Source organism: Homo sapiens, chromosome 15 (assembly GCF_000001405.40).
Source record: "Homo sapiens chromosome 15, GRCh38.p14 Primary Assembly".
Classification (NCBI taxonomy): domain Eukaryota; kingdom Metazoa; phylum Chordata; class Mammalia; order Primates; family Hominidae; genus Homo; species Homo sapiens.
The window spans coordinates 43,970,733-43,992,004 of record NC_000015.10 but is presented as its reverse complement, the minus strand read 5'-3'; the positions used below and the strand labels follow the sequence as shown (position 1 = coordinate 43,992,004).

Sequence of the window (21,272 nt, the reverse complement as noted above, 5' to 3'; positions counted from 1 at the left end):
TAAAGAGTTTCTGTTTCTCTCATACTTCATCTTGCTGGGAGCTATCAGCATTCAGGGTTTGGATTTTTTCTGACACATGGTTTTCTTCTGGAAACCTACTAATTAGTAAAAGGATGCAGGGCTAGGACACTGCGCTGTGTTAGAGATTTTATTATTGAGCCATCTCCAAAGAATGTTGGACCAAGATTCGAGTTTAGCAGAGCTAATACGTAAATGGAGTTGAGAAAACAGGAGAATGGAGAACACATCAGTGCCCTGTTTGAAAATATCAATCCCTTACCTGGTAGGCCTGATGATTTTTAATAGAGACGAGATTGTGGATTTTTTGTGGCAAGAACTGTCTAGTTTAATGTTCAAGAATTATCAGCACCAAAGACAGATCAAAAGGTCAATATTTGTCCTCCCTGTAAATGCCTTGTCCTGGGAGGGTGTTAATATGCCCAATTTGGCAATGAATTTATGGATTTTTATAATGAATATCCATATTTCAAACCCAGGCAGGTGCTCTGGAGCAGTACTGTCTGAGGGCACAGAATGCAGCAGCAGCAGTAGCAGCAGCAGCAAAGACCTGTCCCAGGCATTCAGGGCTCATGTGTATGGATGCACCGATGCTGTGGGAGCTGCGTACATCAAAGCCACTGCAGTCCCCATCACAGAGCCTCACAGAAAAAAGGATTGTTCTGCAGCTTTCCTTTCCCATCAGAGTTCCACTCCATAATCTAATGCCCTTTAGCTGGAGAGGATCTGGGAGAAAGGGAGCTGAATGTGCAAAGCAAAGAACAATTTAAGTACAGTGCTCAAAAATAATTGGCAGCTTCGGGTAAAATACAGTTCTACAATGATAAAAATCACAGCATCTTAACTCTGGCAGAGACCTGTACAGGTCATACAGTCCATCTTCCCTTGCCTGTTTTCAAAACTTAAACCATTCTAATTGGATAAGAACTAATTTTTCATTTTAGGACTTGCAGAAAGAAAATTACAGAGCTCTCTTTGAAATCTGTTCTGATATATAGTACCTCTTTCACTGTAAGTTCATTTTTAAGTTAACCCAAATCCATCATGTTCCAGTTAAAATTGGTTTTTGTTTGTTCAGTCATCTATAGAGATGTATAATGACTAGTCGGTATCCCTTATGTAAAAGTCATTGAAGATCAGCCATAGTTAAATTACCACTTCAACTGTCTTTTCAGTGGCTAAAATCTATCAAGTTCCTTAAACAGTTTTTCTATGGCCAGTTTTTTTAGTCTCTTACCTGTTATTATTATCTTCTCTTCATTTTCCATGGCAATCTTTGGCTGTAAAGCTTAAACAGGACCCAGTGCTGTAGAAATATCTGATGAGTACTTAGTACAGTGAAAAACTCACCTCGTGTTCCTAAATACTTGTAGTTTTTGCTTTGCACACTAATGTGAGACCAAAAATTACCATGCTAGCTGACTCTATATGATCTTAATAATCAATGAGAAAATTTGTGATACATAAATGTGTGTCAAAACATTTGAAACTCTATTTCTATTGGTTATAAATGTATAGAGAAATGAAAAAACATAGTAAAACTAATGTTAGTAAGCTGTAATTTAAAACATTATAAATAATGAGAAAAGAAATTTTATTTATAGGCATACCTCAGAGATATTGCAGGTTTGATTCCAGACTATTGCAAAAAGCAAATATCACAAAAAAGCAAAGTCAGACAAATATTTTGGTTTCCCAGTGCATATAAAACTTATGTTTCTGCTGAGACCGTGTCCACCCTGCGAGCACAGAGCCTTGCCCTCGCCTCTCTGCCACCCGTCCACACCCGCCGCCAGCTCACCATGGATGATGATATCACCATGCTTGTCGTCGACAATGGCTCTGGCATGTGCAAGGCCAGCTTTGCAGGTGACGATGCCCACCCCGGGCCATCTTCCCCTTCATTGTGGGGCGCCCCAGACACCAGGGCGTGACGGTGGGCATGGGTCAGAAGGACTCCTATGTGGGCAACGAGGTCCAGAGCAAGAGAGGCATCCTGACCCTGAAGTACCCCATCAAGCAGGACATTGTCACCACCTGGGACGACATGGAGAAGATCTGGCACCACACCTTCTACAACGAGCTGTGTGTGGCTGCCAAGGAGCACCCCATGCTGCTGACCAAGGTCCCCCTGAGCCCCAAGGCCAACCACAAGAAGATGACCCAGATCATGTTGGAGATCTTCGACAGGCCAGCCATGTACGTGGCCATCCAGGCCGTGCTGTCCCTGTACACCTCTGGCCTACCACTGACATCGTGATGGACTACGATGACGGGGTCACCCACACTGTGCCCATCTATGAAGAGTATGCCCTCCCCCATGCCATCCTGCGTGTGTGCCTGGCTGGTCAGGACCTGACTGACTACCTCATGAAGGTCCTCACCTAGCACAGCTACATCTTCACCGCCACAGCCAAGCGGGAAATTGTGCATGACATCAAGGAGAAGCTGTGCTATGTCACCCTGGACTTCGAGCAGGAGATGGCCATGGTGGCCTCCAGCTCCTCCCTGGAGATAGCTACAAGCTGCCCGACGGCCAGGTCATCATCATCGGCAAAAGCAGTTCTGCTGCCCTGAGGCGCTCTTCCAGCCTTCCTTCCTGGGCATGGAATCCCGCGGCATCCATGAAACTACCTTCAACTCCATCATGAAGTGTGATGTGGACATCCTCAAAGACCCGTATGCCAACACAGTGCTATCTGGCGGCACCACCAGGTACCCTGGCATCGCCGATAGGATGCAGAAGATCACCACCCTGGCGCCCAGCACAATGAAGATCAAGATCACTGCTCCTCCCAAGCGCAAGTACTCCGTGTGGATCGGCAGCTCCATCCTGGCCTGGCTGTCCACCGTCCAGCAGATGTGGATCAGCAAGCAGGAATATGATGAGTCAGGCACCTCCATCATCCACCGCAGATGCTTCTAGGCGGACTGTGACTTAGTTGCGTTACACCCTTTCTTGACAAAACCTAACTTGCGCAGAAAACAAGATGAGATTGGCATGACTTTGTTTTTTTTATTTTGTTTTGTTTTGTTTGGCTCGACTCAGGATTTAAAAACTGGAATGGTGAAGGTGACAGCAGTTGGTTGGAGTGAGCATCCCCCAGAGTTCTACAGTGTGGCCAGGGACTTTCATTGTACATTGTTCTTTTTTTAATAGTCATTCCAAATATCGTGAGATGTGTTGTTACAGGAAGTACCTTGCCCTCCTACAAGCTACCCCACTTCTCTCTAAGGAGAATGGCCCAGTCCTCTCCCGTGTCCACACAGGGGAGGTGATAGCATTGCTTTCATGTAAATTATGTAATACAACTTTTTTTAATCTTTGCCTTAATACTTCTTTATTTTGTTTTATTTTGAATGATCAGCTTTCATGGCCCCACTTTTTTGTCCCCCAACTTGAGATGTATGAAGGCTTTTTGTCTCCCTGGGAGTTGGGAGTGGGTGGAGGTAGCCAGGGCATACCTGTACACTGACTTGAGACCAGTTGAATAAAAGTGCATGCCTTATAAAAAAAACACTTATGTTTCCACTATACTGTAGTCTATTCATTGTGCAGTAGCATATGTCTAAAAAAACAATGCACATACCTTCCTTAAAAAACACTTCGTTGCTAAAAAAAAAAAAAAGTGCTAATGACCATCTGAGCCTTCAGTGAGTAGTAATCTTTTTGCTGCAAAAGGGTCTTGCCTCAATTCTGGAGACCTTGCTCTGTATTAGGTTTTGGCTTAAGGGAATGTTGTGGCTAGTTTGATCTTCTGTCCAGGGGTCCTCAACCCCCAGGCCACAGACCAGGCCACACAGCAGGAGGTGAGTGGTGGGGGGGCAAGAGAAGCTTCATCTGTATTTACAGCCGCTCCCCATCACTTGTATTACCACCTGAGTTCCACCTCCTGTCAGATCAGCAGCAGCATTAGATTCTCATAGGAGCATGAACCCCATTGTGAACTGTGCACATGAGGGATCTGGATTGCATGCTCCTTATGAGAATCTAGTTCTTGATGATCTGTCACTGTCTCCCATGACCCCCAGATGGGACTATATAATTGCAGGAAAACAAGCAGCTCAGGGCTCCCACTGATTCTACATTATGGTGAATTTATAATTATTTCATTATATATTACAATGTAATAATAGGTTGGGCATGGTGGTTCACACCTGTAATCCCAGCATGTTGGGAGGCCGAGGCAGGTGGGATCACTTAAGGTCAGGAGTTTGAGACTAGCCTTGCCAGCATGGTGAAACCCCATCTCTACTAAAAATACAAAAATTAGCCAGGCGTGGTGATGCATGCCTATAGTCCCAGCTACTTGGGAGGCTGAGGCAGGAGAATCACTTGAACCCAGGAGGCTGAGGTTACAGTGAGCCAAGATCACACCACTCTAGCTTGGGTGACAGAGCAAGACTCCGTCTCAAAAAAACAAAAAAAGTAATAATAGAAATAAAGTGCCCAATAACTGTAATGTGCTGGAATCATCCCGAAACCCCCTGCAACCTGGTCCGTGGAAAAATTGTCTTCCACAAAACTGGTCCCTGGTGCCAAAAAGGTTGAGGACCGCTGTTCTATCTAGACCATTAAAACTTTCTCCATATCAGCAAGAAGGCTCTTTCACTTTACCATTCATGTGTTCACTGGAGTAGCACTTTGAATATCCATCAAGATCTTTTTCTTTGCATTCACAACTTGGCTAACTGGCACAAGATGCCTAGTTTTTGGCCTTTCAACATGTTTTTCTCATTAAGCTTAATCATTTCTAGGTTTTGATTTAAAGTTAGAGACATGTGACTCTTCCTTTCACTTGAACACTTAGAGGCCGTAGTAGGGTTATTAATTGGCTTAATTTCCTCATATTGTGGTGTCTGGGGGAATAGGAAAGCCTGAAGAGAGGGAGGGAAATGGAGGAATACCCTGTCAGTGGAGCAGTTAGGACACACACATTTATTGGTTATGTTCACTGTCTTCTATGTGTGTGGTTCATGGCACCTCAAAACAATTGCAATAGTAACATCAAAGATCACTGATCACAGATTAACATAACATATAATAATGAAAAAGTTTGAAATATTGCAAGAATTAACAAAATGCAACAGAGACACAAAATGAGCACATGCTGTTGGAAAAATGGTGCTGAAAGACTTGCTCAATGCAGGCTTGCTACAAATCTTGAATTTATTTAAAAAAAAAACAAAAACCCCACAATATCTACAAAGCACAATGAAGTGAAGCACAATAAAACCAGGTATGTCCGTATTTATAAAAAAAAAAAATCCCAAGTACTTTAACAGTACTTGCCTCCTTTTTGTCATATAGTTTATGATACTGAGAAAACATCTTTTCTGTGCCTTGGTGAATTGTCATCATACTCCCTTCTAAGTTTGGATGAGCTTCCAATATTTTACACTTTGTGCTTTCAGTGTCATGAAATATCTGCAAGAGTTTCTTTAATGTGAAGTTTTTGCCAGCATCACTTCCTCTGGGACATCTTCATACGTTTCGTCACAACCACTTTCCTCATTTACATTGATTAGTTTGCCTTCACTAAGTTCCTCTGGTGCATATCTAGAGTCCCTTAAATAGCAGCAATGTCAATAATCTCACAGTTAGCTATTTCTTCTATAACCCTATTTACATTCCTGTTACCACTTTTTGTTACTTTGCTGCATTTTCATCTTCGTTAGCCAGTTCCCTCTTTCAGTTATCATTTTTGGGTTTCATCATTGGAAGACAAGGAGGCAACCCCACCGCACACTTTGTTGTTTGTGCATTAACTGAATAACAGATGCACAGTGACTAGTCACCGACAGACTGTGAAAGAAGTGACGTGATTTGTCACTGATCGTGATACACATCTGTTATTTATGTTGTGAACTGAAGAGCTAGCAATCAAGTTTGTACTTCATGTAATTACTCACAGTTAATAAACCATGGCAACTGAAATTTCAACCCTGTTGTTTGGGGACTGACATTCTTTCATCTAAGAACCATGCAAAGTGAGGACAACCTCAGTCAATTCCTGCATTCCTTCAGGCCCACTGCTAATTTTCTGATTCCTGGTCAGTTATCTACTCTGACATTCAGATCTTTTTCTGGTATATATGCCTTACTAACTTCATCTTAGTGAAGTTTCTCTTTCTCCTCCAGGGGCAATACCTTTGATCTTTCCTCTCTGACATTTATGCTCTTGGCTTCTGACCATTCCTTCAATCTCTAAGTTTGTTTGAAATACTGATTTGCCCCGCTAGCTTGTGATCGTTTGCAAATTAAATAGACATTTCTCCATTCATTAATGTGAATACTTATCCGCACAGAATGTCAATTCCTGAATACCAGCACAGGTTCACCCAGCCAGCTCATCCTTATCCTTTGGTCATATGGTCCAGTCAGTTGTGTAAGGGACTCTGTAAAGGTCCTGGGTGGGGCCTCAGAATCTATATATTTAAATGTTCTCCATATTATAGCCAAGTTTGATTTATAATATAAACCATGCTTTCCTGGTTCTTAGTAATCTTACTATAGACTACTAGAAGTTTAGATCTGACAAATATACTAGAGATTGTCTTGTCAAACCTACTCATTTTATAAGTGAGAGAACTAAGGTCCAGAGTTGCCAGATGACTTGCCCATGGCTTCCCAGTTACAAGCAGAGTAGGAACTAGAACTGATGGTTCCAAACGCCCAATCTTTTTTTTTTTTTTTTTTTTTTTTGAGACGGAGTCTCGCTCTGTTGCCCAGGCTGAAATGCAGTGGTCCGATCTCGGCTCACTGCAAGCTCCGCCTCCCAGGTTCACGCCATTCTTCTGCCTCAGCCTCCCAAGTAGCTGGGACTACAGGCACCTGCCACCACACCAGGCTAATTTTTTTGTATTTTTAATAGAGATGGGGTTTCACCATGTTAGCCGGGATGGTCTTGATCTCCTGACCTCGTGATCTGCCTGCCTTGGCCTCCCAAAGTGCTGAAATTACAGGCGTGAGCCACCGTGCCCGGCCTTGTTTTTTTTTTTTTCTAGACAGAGTTGTTCTGTCGCCCAGTTTGGGGTGCAGTGGCGCGATCTCGGCTCACTGCAACCTCCACCTCCCAGGTTCAAGCGATTCTCCCACCTCAGCCTCCCGAGTAGCTGGGATTACAGGTGTATGCCACCATGCCTGGCTAATTTTTATATTTTTGGTAGAGACAGGATTTCACCATGTTGGCCAGGCTAGTCTTGAACTCCTGACCTCAAGTGATCCACCCACCTCGGCCTCCCAAGGCGTTGGGATTACAGGCGTGAGCCACTGCGCCCACCCCAAACTCCCAGTCTTTCAACCTAATTTCCATCCTGTGGGATACAATCAAAGTCGTTCATCATCATCTTTTTCAAACTCTCCTGTGGTGATTTTCTTTTTCTGTGTGAATCTGTGCAATAATATCTGAAGAGAGATGCTCAAGTAAGTTTCTCTGTAGTGAATGGGAAAGCAGTTGTGACAAGGATTGTTGAGGTAGTAGGAGCTATGGAGGCCTGGAGCAGCTCTGGAGGCCTTAATCCAGTCCTGCTCCAGTGCTTACCCTCTGCCTGCTCTGTGCCTGCCCACTGGTGCCTAAGCTGCTGTCCACTGGGGGCTTAGGTATCTGTTTGACTTGTGCACACAGTGCTTGTTTCCGGAGGCAGTGTATAGAGGAGAAGATGGGGATGCGGGTTTGGGTAGGGGTTGAATATACTATTCTGTAAAGCTTTTTCTATTTGCATAAGATATTCTCACAACTGAAGACTCTGGCCTTCAGGTTTGCTGACAGAGTGAAATGAGTCTGCCTGTAATTCTGAGAGACGCACTAAGGAGTAGAGCATCATCCCTTTGATATGTTGTGTAAGTTCATGAAAAATGAATGGGGAATGTTGAATAGTATGTATAATAGCAACGTTAATGCTTACATACCCATTCTGGCTTGAAGAAAAACAAAAACAGAATTTTGCTACTTCCTAATCTCCCTGAGTTCACCTGTCACAGGCAACAGCAGTGTTTGAAATGCTAATGTGTCTTGTAGCCATTTTAAAGACTGAAGAGCTGCATAGTTCAGGGAAACTGAGATCAAGGGACTTCTTTATAAATTGTCCTTACATTTTCTCTAGCACTTGCTGCCTGGGACCCTGGCCTCTCACTAGGCCCCTGAAGATGAAAGAGCATTTCACAGTGACATGACATTTTAGAGCCAGAGGTGGAGACGGTGGATGGGGGGAGGACCTTAGTACTCTCCTGCTTCAATTCTGATTCCAAAATTTTTGTTTTCTCTGCTGAGACCCCAAGTGGTCAACGAACTTAGCTACAGTTGCACAGTTTGTTTAGGGCTAGATTTAGACTAGAGCTCAGGTTTCCTGATTCCCAGGTAAATGTGGTTTTGGCTGTATCATATTGTGCATAAAAGCATTGTCAGACTTCTTAAATGAAATACAAAATCCTGGGTGATTTGGCAGTTGTGAATCTTGCTGGCGATAACAGACTTTTGGAGGAGACAGGACTGTATTTTTATAGCTGAGGAAACCAGATCAAGGAAACTAGTGTAAATAATGGTCCAAGGGCTGAAAAAAAATCCTCACAGCCTCCCCATTATAACTTTTCAACTTAGGGTGCCAGAAAAGTCTCCATTAATGATTTAAGTTAAGGTTTACACTGAAGGCTGGGACAAAAATGTATATAAAGCACCTAGTTTGCTTATGTATAGATACATTAGATCTCAGAGTAAAGAGAAGGGAAAGAGTATCTTTAAAAATTAGAAGATTGGGGCCAGGCATGGTGGCTGACACCTGTAATCCCAACACTTTGGGAGGCTGAGGCTGGTGGATCACTTGAGGTCAGGAGTTTGAGACCAGTCTGACCAACACAGTGAAACCCTATCTCTACTAAAAATACAAAAATTAGCCAGATGTGATGGCACATGCCTGTAATCCCAGCTACTTAGGAGGCTGAGGCAGGAGAATCACTTGACCCCGGGAAGTGGAGGTTGCAGTGAGCCAAGATCACACCACTGTACTCCAGCCTGGGTGACAGAGTGAGATTCCATCTCAAAAAAAGATTGGAAAAAAGATACCTGGGGAAATTTAGTTTGCAAGTGACTACCTAGTTTTTTCTTTCCAACTGAAGGTTCACATTAGCATCAATAAATATTTTACAGCAAGTCTCATACCCTGATTTAAAAAAGATACCTTCTGTTCTTTGGAAACCATATCAGAGGTCTATTTTAGGTAATTATTTTCATTTTCTATCTTTAGAAAAAAAACTTTAAAAATACAGTTTATAAAGACCCAATGTGTTCTTTAAAAACTTCTTGGTAGGACTGCTAAAGTTCCATTTCTCCCCTAATGAAGTATAAAAATTGAATTCTTAATGCAGATGAAAGTGCCCTATTCTGGGGGAAAAATGCCACAAAGGACACTTCTTAGTAAGGAAGTGAGCACCAAGATTTAAGGCAGGAAAGGATAAGCTAACTCTACTGTTTTGTACAAATGCAGTTGAGTTTATGATCAGGACTGCCTTTATCTGTATAGCTGCTAACCCTCAAGCGTTAAAGTGAAAAAAAACACCAGCTGCCAGGCTTTGGGTTTTACAAAAAGAAGACCTGGACAACAAGAATCCTTTTACTGGATTGATTCCATTGATGTTTTGTCCTTGATGTCAAGAAGCACCTTGCTAGTAAAGGACTGCCTTTTAAAGTTCTTCTGATATCAGACAATGCCCCTGGCAACCCAGAACCCCATGAGTTCAACACCAAAGACATCGAAGTGGTCTACTTGCCCCGAAACACAACATCTCTAATTCAGCCTCTAGGTCAGGGAATCATAAGGACCTTTAAGGCTCATTTCACACAGAACTGTATGGAAGGATGTCAACCCTATGGACGAGAACCCCAATAGAGAGAACATCATGAAAGTCTGGAAGGATTACAGCATTGGAGATGCCATCATTATAGAAAAAGTCATGAGAGCCATCAAGCTCCAAGTAATAAATTCCTGCTGGAGAAAACTGTATCCAGGTGTTGTACGTGACTTCACAGGATTTATGACAGAGCTAATCAAATAAATCATGAAAGAGATTGTAGATATGGCAGAAAAGTGGGGGAGAGGGTAGAGGTTTAAAGGTTTAAAACATGGATCTTGGAGAACTGCAAGAGTTAACAGACACCACACCTGAGAATTTCACAGAAGACAACTCGATGGAGATGAGTGCTTCTGAATCAGTGCTAAACAATGAGGAAGAAGATGTAGAAGAAGCAGTGCCAGAAAGCAAATTGACATGAGACCATCTAGCAGAAGGTTTCTAATTATTCAAGAATGCTTTTGACTTCTTTTATGATGTGGATCCTTCTATGATATGGGCACTGAAACTAAAGCAAAAGGTGGAAGAAGAATTGGTACCATATAGAAACATTTTTAGAGAAATGAAAAAGCAAAAAAATCAAAAATTACAATGTATTTCCATAAAGTTACACCAAGTGTGTTGGCTTCTCCTGCCTCTCCTTCCACCTCCTCTACCTCTTCCATCTCTGCTACTCCCAAGACAGTAAGACCAACCCCTTTTCCTCCTCCTCTTCAGCCTACTCAACATGAAGACAAGGATAAAGACCTTTATGATAATCCATTTACACTAAATGAATAGTAAATATATTTCCTCTTCCTTGTGGTTTTCTTAATAATTTTTTTTTCTCTAATTTATTGTAAGAATACAGGATGTCACACATACAACATACAAAATATGTGTTAAGGTGAGGTGGTTCACGCCTGTAATCCCAGCACTTTGGGAAGCCAATGTGGATGGATCACTTGAGGCCAGGAGGTTGAGACCAGCCTGGCCAACATGGTGAAACCCCAGCTACTTGGGAGGCTGAGGCATGAAGATCACTTGAACCCGGGAGACAGAGGCTGCAGTGAGTGACGATCACATCACTGCACTCCAGCCTGGGCAACAGAGTGAAATTCTGTCTCAAAATGTGTATGTGTGTGTGTTTGTGTGTCTGTGTTAAATTGACTATGTTATCAGTAAGCCTTCTGGTCCACAGTAAGCTGTTAGTAGTTAAGTTTTAGAGGAGTCACAATTTTATAGGTAGATTTTTTACTGTACCTGGTGGGAGGGGGTCAGTACCCTAACTCCTGCATTGTTCAAGGGTCAATTGTATAATGAATACACAAAAATGAGCAGCACCCACAACCCACTGTGTCTGGCCAAAATAAGCCCAGCTTTAACTTTACTGAAATATTCTCCTTCATTAAATAACATGTATTTTCGGTCTCCTAGGCTACCTCCAACTGGGACCAGCTTTAAGATAAAAAAAATCAGATTTCAGATGTGTGGTTTGGGTATTTAAATTTTCAGTGATACTCAGTTTCATATCTTTCAATTGAGGGAAAATTGTCAAGAGACAAGAATGGTGTCAAGAGTAGAAAGATCTAGCACCACAAGCCAGGGAGTATTGAAAGAGAACCAAGGGCCAGCTTCTCATTAAAATCAGAGGCAAGAAAGCATCTAAAGATCAAATGACTTAAATGGTAGCAGAAAAGACTTTAGGAGGTAAATAAGGAAATGTTTGTTTGAAGGCTTAATGGAGGATATTGTGTTAGAAATGCTGAGTTATTTTCCCTAGTACTAACTTTCTAATAGCAATGATGTTAAGGATATCTCCCCACACCCCACCAGCATTCTCAGTTACTGAAGGACTTCTGCAGGAGTGGGACAGTCCCCTATTAGAAAAGCTGGCATAGTTGAGGTTCTACCTATATTTAAGCAGAGGTAGATTTTATTAGAGAAGCACTCAAGTGTAGCTTTTGATTTTTTTGGAAGCATACTTTATAGGGCCTGAATACCTTATTAAAAGCAACATAATACTACATTAAACGAGTAAACAAGCATCTAGGGAAATCACACTTACAATCAATTAGATTTATAGACTAGTATTTCGAAGCAAAAACAGGAGGAATTCAAATGGAACATCTAGGATTCTGAGCAGCACATTGGTCTTGGAATTCAACTACAATCTAATATGTCTTGGTTCCTTTACCTTAAATACTCTGTTCTCCAATTAGAGTTGGTTTTGTTCTTCAAGTCTTTATTTTCACAGCATCGCCCGACTTCTATGTTGCTTCTTCTTTAATTTTTTTTAAGTAAGAAACATTCTGCTTTATCTCATTATTTAACCATTCAGGGACACTTCCCAGGCTTTTCTATCATTTGTGAAGAACAGTGGGTAAAAGTAAAGCACAATCATTCTGGAAATTCTTTATGAAACAGAAAATATATAAAAATATTCAGAGTATCTCCACTAATGCCTGATGACAATTCATTTGGACTTTTGAACTGGAGAGAAAGAAATCATCCAATAGTTTTGTGTATTGCTATCTATGTTTCTTTTTGGTCAGTAATGTATGTGTTATTTCCAAATGGCCTTCCTCCATGACCCTCATCCAATTCATGAGGAATAACATATTTTGAATCTCAGAAAAGACTGCCACTTTTAAGCCTTATAAGACCGAGTTCAAGTCCCAGTCCCTTGCCTCAACAATGGACTCTAGTGGCCTTTCCTTGCATCTGAATAACCATGGATCAATATCTGCCTATAAGAGTGTGGAGGTATAGGAGGTGGACGAACATGCTGTGGGAAGCAAATTGAACCCTTTTTTTTTTTTTTTGAGACAGAGTTTCACTCTTATAGCCCAGGCTGGAGTGCAATGGCGTGATCTCCGCTCACTGTAATCTCCACCTCCCAGGTTCAAGCAGTTCTGCCTCAGCCTCCTGAGTAGCTGGGATACAGGCACCTGCCATGACGCTTGGCTAATTTTGTATTTTTTTGGTAGAGATGGGGTTTTGCCATGTTGGCCAGGCTGGTCTTGAACTGCTGGCCTCAGGTGATCAGCCCGCCTCGGCCTCCCAAAGTGCTGAGATTAAAGACATGAGCCACTGTGCCCAGCCACAAATTGAACCCTTTCTATAAGCATTTTCTACATTGCCAAAAATAGTGTTGTCCTCAAAAGTACAAGCTTACTTACTGGAGATTTAGGAGACAGTATTTTGCCAGTAGAATTCCATCTTCCTTTAAGCAAACTTAACATGCAAAAATCTATATTTATCCAACAGAGTAAAGGCTAAAGAACTTTTTGTTTTAAAAGAAAACTTGGCCGGGTGTGGTGGTTCATGTCTGTCATCCCAGCACTTTGGGAAGCCGAGGTGGGTGGATCACCTGAGGTCAGGAGTTCGAGACCAGCCTGGCCAAAATGGTGAAACCCTGTCTCTACTAAAAATACAAAAACTAGCTGGATGTGGTGGTGGGTACCTGTAATCCCAGCTACTTGGGAGGCTGAGGCAGGAGAATCACTTGAACCCGGGAGGTGAAGGTTGCAGTGAGCCAATATTGCGCCACTGCACTCCAGCCTGGGTGAATCTTTTTGATTACAAAAACACATGGAGACTCAGAAAATCATGTTAACCAAATGTACGTCTTAATCATTATAAAGTGAACATCACCTCGATCATGAAATAGAACATTGCCACCTACTCTAGAAGCCCTGCCCAGGTACCCCAACTCAATCGCAGTCCCTTCTTTCCCTGATTAGTAACCATTATTATGATGTTTACATTCTCACCAGCAATGTATGAGAGTTCTAGTACCTGCACAAATGCTTGCCAACACTTGGTAGGGTCAGTCTTTTTCACTTTAGCCATTCCAGTAGCTGTATCTCTTTTGTGTTTGTAATGGTATGTATTTGTGGTGGTATCTCATTTGTATTTTGCTAATGACTAATGATATTGAGCTGCTTCTCATCTGCTTATTTGCCAGCTGTTAGGAAGATTTTTAAAAGGAAGGAAGTGAGAGAGAAGGCAACTCAACGGCCAAACAGGTTTATTTACAAGAATAAGCCTGCAAGCGGTCCCGGTCAGGAATCTGGCTGAGACCCTGATTTATTTTTTTATAATAAAGTTTCTATAGGGAGGTTTTTATAATAAAGTTTTTATAATAAAGTTTCTATGGGGAGGGGTTGGGGATATGCTGGCAGGTTGAAACTGTAGGGGGCAGGGGAAGGATGTGGTAAAGGCCAGTCAGTCTTTGTTGTAGTCAGGGTTGTTACTGTCTGTTAAAGGTATGGGCGAGGTTGACCTTTGCTGACCAGATAAACTCCCTAGCAACAGTTAGTACTCCAAAATCGCAGGGGACTAGATATCCTCACTGTAGAAGAGGGAGGCCTATTTCTCTTCCTGCAAGAAAATGCTGTTTCTTTACAAATAAATCTAGATTGGTAAAAGAAGGAATATCCAAACAGAAAAATTGCAGAACGCCTGCCCAAACAACCTGCTGACTTTTTCAGTTATTTCCTCCATTGGGCACTCCCTTTAATTGGTCCTTTCATTGTCATCTGCTTAATATTAATGTTTTTACCCTGCTTGATGAAATTTTTTTCAAAAGTTTATTTTAGAAAGAGTAACCTCAGTTGCTCAGACCACCATAACGGAACACATCAAGGAGGCATTCCTGCTATAGCAACAATGAATGACCTCATCACCAGAGGAAGGCCACCTCCCCCATGCACCACCCCCAGTGAGCAGGAAGTAGTCAAAGAGAACCTACATCCCTATTCCTAAATGATAATAATACAAAGAGGTGGGAATGTGAGAATTAACAATAGTGATGCCATTTTTCCACCTTGGTGACTGTGTTTCCTACCTTAGTGACAGTGTTTCCAAAAACAAAGCAAAGGTCAACCTCACCCATACCTTAACAGAGAGTAACAACCCTGACCACAACAAAGCCTGGCCCTTACCACATCCTTCCCCAGCCCCCTGCAGTTCCAACCTGCTAGCACTTCCCCAACCCCTCCCCTATAGAAACTTTAGTATGAGGCTGGGCACAGTGGCTCACACCTGTAATCCCAGCGCTTTGGGAGGCTGAGGCAGCTGTATAGCCTGAGGTCAGGAGTTCAAGACCAGACTGGCTAACATGGTGAAACCCTGTTTCTACTAAAAATGCAAAAAAAATTAGCTGGGTGTGGTGGCATGCACCTGTAATCCCAGCTACTCAAGAGGCTGAGGCAGGAGAATCACTTGAACCCAGGAGGCGGAGATTGCAGTGAGCTGAAATCACGCTACTGCACTCCAGCCTGGCAACAGAGCAAGATTCTGTCTCAAAAGAAAAAAAAAAAAAAGTTGGTCATGGTAGTACATGCCTGTAATCCCAGCTACTTGGGAGACTGAGGCAGGAGAATCACTTGAACCTGGAAGGCAGAGGTTGCAGTGAGCCGAGATCGCACCATTGCACTCCAGCTTGGGCGACAAGAGCAAAACTCCGTCTCAAAAATAAAAAAAAGAAACTTTAGTATAAAAACGTCAGCTTGTAAGCAATCAGGGTCTCAGCCAGATTCCTGACTGGGATGCCTCACAGGCTTATTCTTGTAAATAAACCTGTTTGGCCATTGAGTTGCCTTCTCTCTCACTTTCTTCCTTTTAAAACTCTTCCTAACACCATCCATATATATCTTTGTTAAAGTGTCTGTTCAAATCTTTTGCCTTTTTAAAAAAATTGCGTTGCTTGTTTTTTTATGGAATGTTGAGGGTTCTTTTTATTCTACATGCAAGTCCTTCATCAGATAAATGCTTTGCAAAGATTTTCTCCTAGTTCTTGGCATGTCATGTCGTTCTCTCAACAGTTTCTTTTGAAAAGCAGTTTTAAATTTTGATAAAGACTAATATATCCATTTATTTTATGAGTAGACATTTATTTGTTTTTTATGGGTTGTGTTTTTGGTGTTATATTTAAGAAGTATTTGCCTAATCCAAGGTTACAAATGTTTTCTTCTATAAATTTTATTGTTTTATGTTGTACATTTTGGTCTATGATCCACTTTAAGTTTTTTTTTTTTTAATATATGGAACAAGGTATGAATTGAAGTCTCCCTCTCCCTTTTTTTTTTTTTAGCACATAGATATCCCGCTGTTCCAGCACCACTTCTTTAAAAGGCTTTCCTTTCTCTGCTGAATTCCCTTTTACACCTTGTTGAAAATGAACATGTGTGGGTCTATTTATAGGCTCTTTATTCTGTTCTGTTGATCTATTTGTCTTTCTTTGTGTCAGTACCACACTGTCTTGGTTATTGTAGCTTTATAATATCTTGAATCTAGATCATATTAGTCCTCCAAATTTGTTCTTCTTTTGCAAACTTGTTTTGCATATTCTAGATCCTTTTATTGCCACATGAATTTTAGAATTCATTTGCTAGTTTCTACAAAAAAAGCCTCCTGGGATTTTAATTGAGATTGCATTGACTCTATAGACCAATTTGGGGAGAATGGACATGTTAACAATTTTGAATCTTGAAACCTATAAACATGATATATCCCTCTGTTTAGGTTTTCTTTCATTTCTCTCAGCAACGTCTTATTGTTTTCCTTGAGTTGTTAGAGTTTTAAATATTTGCTAATCACTTGTGTGTAAAGTGGTGTCTCATTGTGGTTTCACTGCTGACGACCAGTGAAATCCAGCATCTTTCAAGTGTTTATTGGCCCTTCAGGTTTCCTCTTCTCTATTGCTTTTATATTGGCCCGGCATTTTATTTGCCAAGAATATCTCTGCTGGGTGATCTTATGGTCTCTTATGTTTCGTCTATTTTGTGTTTGTTTGTTTTATTGATAGTGGAGATGTTTCTCTTTTTTGGCTCTTGAATTCTGAAATAGTAATTTAGATATTGAGGCAAATACCTCTTTACATCTTTCATTCCTTGTTAGTTTTATCTCTCCTACTTTCTGCCAATAGGAAGCTCTGGTATTCCCTGGCATATTCTAGCTTAGATGACTTTTGAGAACTCTGATTTGAGAGCAAAGCATGAGGTCACCTCACTTGTCAATGTCCCTTGGGCGATGCCTAGTTTATCTTTTTGCTAAGCTAATCTGCTCTCATTCCTCATGGTTCACTGCTCTGGACATTCTGCGATTCTGTTCCAGCTGAGCACATTAGAAGAGAGAGACAATTCCGCATCACTGGGCAGAGCTTAGGTAGCCTGGGGTTCTCACCTTTGAGCCAACAGGCAACTTGGCAAATTGCTCAACAACTCTGGGAGATGATTGTCAGAAGCCACAAGAGCCCCAGTCAGTGTTCTGTGAACCTGCTTTGAACAATTAAAAGGATCTGCATGTAACAAATTCTTGAAAAATTTTTGTTTCATTTTTATTAAAAAGGAAGCCTTTGATTTCTGTTGGCTACAAAGTAGGCTTCCTGTGATGTCTAAGTCAGAGAGCTACATGAATCTGGTTGTATCTTTCAGAATATTGTTTATGCATATTAGAATTTGTGAATAGTTATTTTGCTTTTCAACACTTTAAACATTTGTCAAATACCTATGGTGTGCCAAGCACTGTGTCAGGAACCAGAATCACCAAAATGGATAAGGCACCGCCCTCTCTTAGAAAAGCTTACAGAAGCCAGAGTATAGGTAGGAGTTAACTAACTCCAATGCTTTCTCAAAGAAAGAAAAGGGAAGGTAGATGCGGGAATGGGACCATCCTAAGGCATAAAAAGCAAGCAGCCTTAACCTATAGAAACTTGTCCAGGAAGAGTATAAGTAGAGAATTAAATGAGCACCTGCAGCACATAATTTCTGGACAACTGGATAGGAGTCCAAAAAGGGAAAGACACTAAAAGATATTGGCATTCAGAAATTTCTGTAATCCCAAATCCTTGCTCAAGCTGTTCACCTCCTAGATTGCTTTCCATGACCCTTTTCATTTGGCAAACTCTCATTCACCCTTAAGGAGTCACCTGAGATTTTTATTCTCATGGGAAAGTTTTCTTCCTTGCCTCTCACTTTCACTAGAGGACCATCTTGTGTGCTTTCATAGCACCCTACTGCTGATTCCAACTGTTCCACTTAGCACTCTGCATTGAAAGTGCCTCTTTGTCTCCACCCAGTAGAGTAACTTCAAGATCAAGCTGATCCCTTTTGGAGTAACCTCAAAAAAAAAAAAAAGTTAATTTGATATGTTCAATGGGATCCTAACATACTGAAACAGTGGGCTAAAATCAACAAGAAGAAATTTACTAGGCCTAAATCCTGCATCTAGTTCCAGCAGTTAAACTGTACAAGTAGAAGATTGAGGAGGCCTGACTTAGTAGGAGAATGTTTGAAATGGCATTCTAGATATCCGCAAATTGGATATAAGCCAATGGTATATAAGTTTCTCTAAAACCAAATAGAGGTTTGGGTTGTATTAAGGAAAATATAGCATTTAGATTAAGATTTAATAGCTGTATTATAATGCTGCAGTATATTTGGAGTATCATGCTCAATATGATCTTCTGACTTAAAGAACATTAGTGACCAGGAGCAGTGGTTCACACCTGTAATCCCAACACTTTGGGAGGCCAAGGCAGGTGGATCATCTGGGGTCAGGAGTTCGAGACCAGCCTGACCAACATGGTGAAACCCCGTCTCTGCTAAAAATACAAAAACTAGCTGGGTGTGGTGGTGGGCACCTGTAATCCCAGCTACTCAGGAGGCTGAACCAGGAGAATCGCTTGAACCTGGGAGGCGGAGGTTCCAGTGAGCGGAGATATCGTGCCATTGCACTCCAGCCTGTGAGATAGAGCAAGACTCTGTCTCAAAAAAAAAAAAAAACATTAGCATTAGCAAACAAGAAAGTAACTAGGATATTAACCAAAATCGGCCAGGTGCGGTGGCTCACGCCTGTAATCCCAGCACTTTGGGAGGCCGAGGCAGGCGGATCATGAGGTCAGGAGATCGAGACCATCCTGGCTAACATGGTGAAACCCCGTCTCTACTAAAAATACAAAAAATTAGCCAGGCGTGGTGGCGGGCGTCTGTAGTCCCAGCTACTCGGGAGGCTGAGGCAGGAGAATGGCGTGAACCCGGGAGGCAGTGCTTGCAGTGAGCCGAGATCGCGCCACTGCACTCCAGCCTGGAGGACAGAGCGAGACTCCGTCTCAAAAAAAAAACAAGAAAAACAAGAAAAGGATATTAACTAAAATCTAGAAAGAAGTCATATGATGATCCAGTCATAAGAATTAGATATTCGGCCTGGGGAAGGGAAGACTTGGAAGACATGGGATAGGATAGTATCAAATATCTGAAAAGCAATCATGTAGAAGCCTGGGTGGAGTTGATCTCTTATCCTTCGGAAAGCAGAGCTAGGGTCAGTGGGTAGAAGTTGCACACTAGAAGTTACCTAGGAGACCTTACTTATTATTAAGAACTTGCCACAAAACTCTTCAAAGGTGAATGGGACTACCTGTATGAGGTGGTGAGCTCTCTGTCATGCACGTGGAGGCTAGAAAACCATAGCCCTGAGATTAGGACTGTACAGTTGTATAGGTTAGTTATTGTACAAGGGCACCCGGCCAAGGGGGCAACTGGGGCTGAAATCCAGCCAGTGCTGCAGTAACTACATCATGTATCCTGGCATTGGTTACCCAGAGGAAGAGGTACCTTTTTATAGTTCACCCAAAGATGCCCCAGATCTACTAGATATAGAAAGGTTTTCTTATCAGGTGAGAGATCAGATTAGTAACCGCTAACCCCCTGCCACATCTTATTGTCCATTAGTCTATGGTCACAGCTATATTTAATTAAAACTCAATAAAGTAAGGTGAAGAAAATCCAAGCAAACAAATTCCATTTAACCCAAAGGAGAATAACTTATATATGCTTTTTAATATATTGATGCATTTAAAGGCCTCCCTAACCCCATCCCACATGATGTTGTGTGATGTGCTGCAGGAGGGGATAAGAGAGAGATGGAGTTGGTTGGTCTTCCATGCTCTATGAACTCTCTTAATAACAAGGTGTGAGCTCTGCTACATCTGAGGCATATTCAGTGCCTGTTGTATCTTTCTTTGGAGGTTAAGCACCATTAAAATATTTTCTACTGAAAATCTTTATATATATATATATTTATATATAAGTATATAAATATATAAAAATATATATTTTTTTAATAGAGATGAGGTCTTGCTATGTTGGCCAGGATGGTCTCAAACTCCTGACCTCAGGCAAAGAGCTGGGATTATAGGCATGAGCCACCATGCCTGGACTGAAAAATCCTTATATTTAAATGTGAAGTTTTAAACCCTGTCTCTACTAAAAATACAAAAAATTAGCCAGGCGTGGTGGCGGGCGCCTGTAATCCCAGCTACTCGGGAGGCTGAGGCAGGAGAATCGCTTGAACCCGGGAGATGGAGGTTGCAGTGAGCTGAGGTTGCACCATTGCACTCCAGCCTGGGCAACAAGAGTGAAACTCAAAAAAAGAAGAAAAAACGAAGTTTTAAAAACAGTATATAAAATTATGCATATAATGTCATTTCAACCCTATTGCATAGAAACTCTTTTTTTTTTTTTTTTAGATGCAACCTCCACCTCCTGGGTTCAAGTGATTCTCCTGCATCAGCCTCCTGAGTAGCTGGGATTACAGATGCGTGCCACCATGCCTGGCTAACTTTTGTATTTTTAGTAGAGATGGGGTTTCGCCATCTTGATCAGGCTGGTCTTGAACTCCTGACCTCGTGATCCGCCCTCTTGGCCTCCCAAAGTGCTGGTGAGCCACCGCACCAGGCAGAAATTTTTTTGAACAAAAGAAAAAATAGTAGCAGATGTACTCTCTGAGGGACAGGTTTATGGATAGTATTATTTTTATAACAGAAAACAAATATTTTAAAATGATCTTCTCTTCACCTTGAAAATTTTTTATTTTTTGTTTTTTTGGTTTTTGTTTTTTGTTTTTTGTTTTTTTGTGAGGTGGAGTCATACTCTGTCACCAGGCTGGAGTGCAGTGGCATGCTCTCAGCTCACTGCAACCTCCACCTCCCGGGTTCAAGTGATTCTCCTGCCTCAGCCTGATGAGTAGCTGGGTTTACAGTCCTGCCACCATGCCCAGCAATGTTTTGTTTTGTTTTGTTTTGTTTTGTTTTAGTAGAGACAAGGTTTCACCATGTTGGCCAGGTGATTCGCCTTCCTCGCCCTCCCAAAGCATTGGGATTACAGGTGTGAACCACCACACCTGGCAAGAATTCAAATTTCTAAAGGGCCTGAATTTTTTCCTCCCACCTTGTCATCAGCTTACTCACCAATGAAATTTTCATCTTTTACATTCTCATTTCTTTTATCATATTACTATAATATGCTACCCAAACAGAGTGCAATTAAATTCTGCTGGAGAAAAAGACGTCTCATTTACCTAAGAAATGCTCTTGGAAATGAACTTCAGAAATAGATGGGGTATGGCAGGTACGGTGGCTCAC

General features: G+C 41.7%; 1 protein-coding gene and 1 pseudogene across 11 annotated transcripts in view, besides 4 other annotated features; both read left to right on the top strand.

Annotated features, from left to right (window-relative positions):
- Positions 1-21,272, top strand: part of FRMD5 (FERM domain containing 5) — a 328,710-nt gene that overhangs the window by 207,469 nt on the left and 99,969 nt on the right. The window lies entirely within an intron of this gene.
- Positions 1,428-2,264: an enhancer, noted in NCBI's record as "H3K27ac-H3K4me1 hESC enhancer chr15:44281939-44282775 (GRCh37/hg19 assembly coordinates)". NCBI's record gives its function as "activates a minimal SCP1, AML or CMV promoter by ChIP-STARR-seq in primed H9 embryonic stem cells {active_cell/tissue: H9 hESC(primed)}" and the evidence as "EXISTENCE:reporter gene assay evidence [ECO:0000049][PMID:30033119]".
- ACTBP7 (ACTB pseudogene 7) lies at positions 1,740-3,527 on the top strand (annotated as a pseudogene).
- Positions 2,265-3,102: an enhancer, noted in NCBI's record as "H3K27ac-H3K4me1 hESC enhancer chr15:44281101-44281938 (GRCh37/hg19 assembly coordinates)". NCBI's record gives its function as "activates a minimal SCP1, AML or CMV promoter by ChIP-STARR-seq in primed H9 embryonic stem cells {active_cell/tissue: H9 hESC(primed)}" and the evidence as "EXISTENCE:reporter gene assay evidence [ECO:0000049][PMID:30033119]".
- Positions 17,004-17,053: a silencer, noted in NCBI's record as "silent region_6391". NCBI's record gives its function as "represses an Ori minimal core promoter by ATAC-STARR-seq in GM12878 lymphoblastoid cells {active_cell/tissue: GM12878}" and the evidence as "EXISTENCE:reporter gene assay evidence [ECO:0000049][PMID:35858748]".
- Positions 18,600-19,101: an enhancer, noted in NCBI's record as "NANOG hESC enhancer chr15:44265102-44265603 (GRCh37/hg19 assembly coordinates)". NCBI's record gives its function as "activates a minimal SCP1, AML or CMV promoter by ChIP-STARR-seq in primed H9 embryonic stem cells {active_cell/tissue: H9 hESC(primed)}" and the evidence as "EXISTENCE:reporter gene assay evidence [ECO:0000049][PMID:30033119]".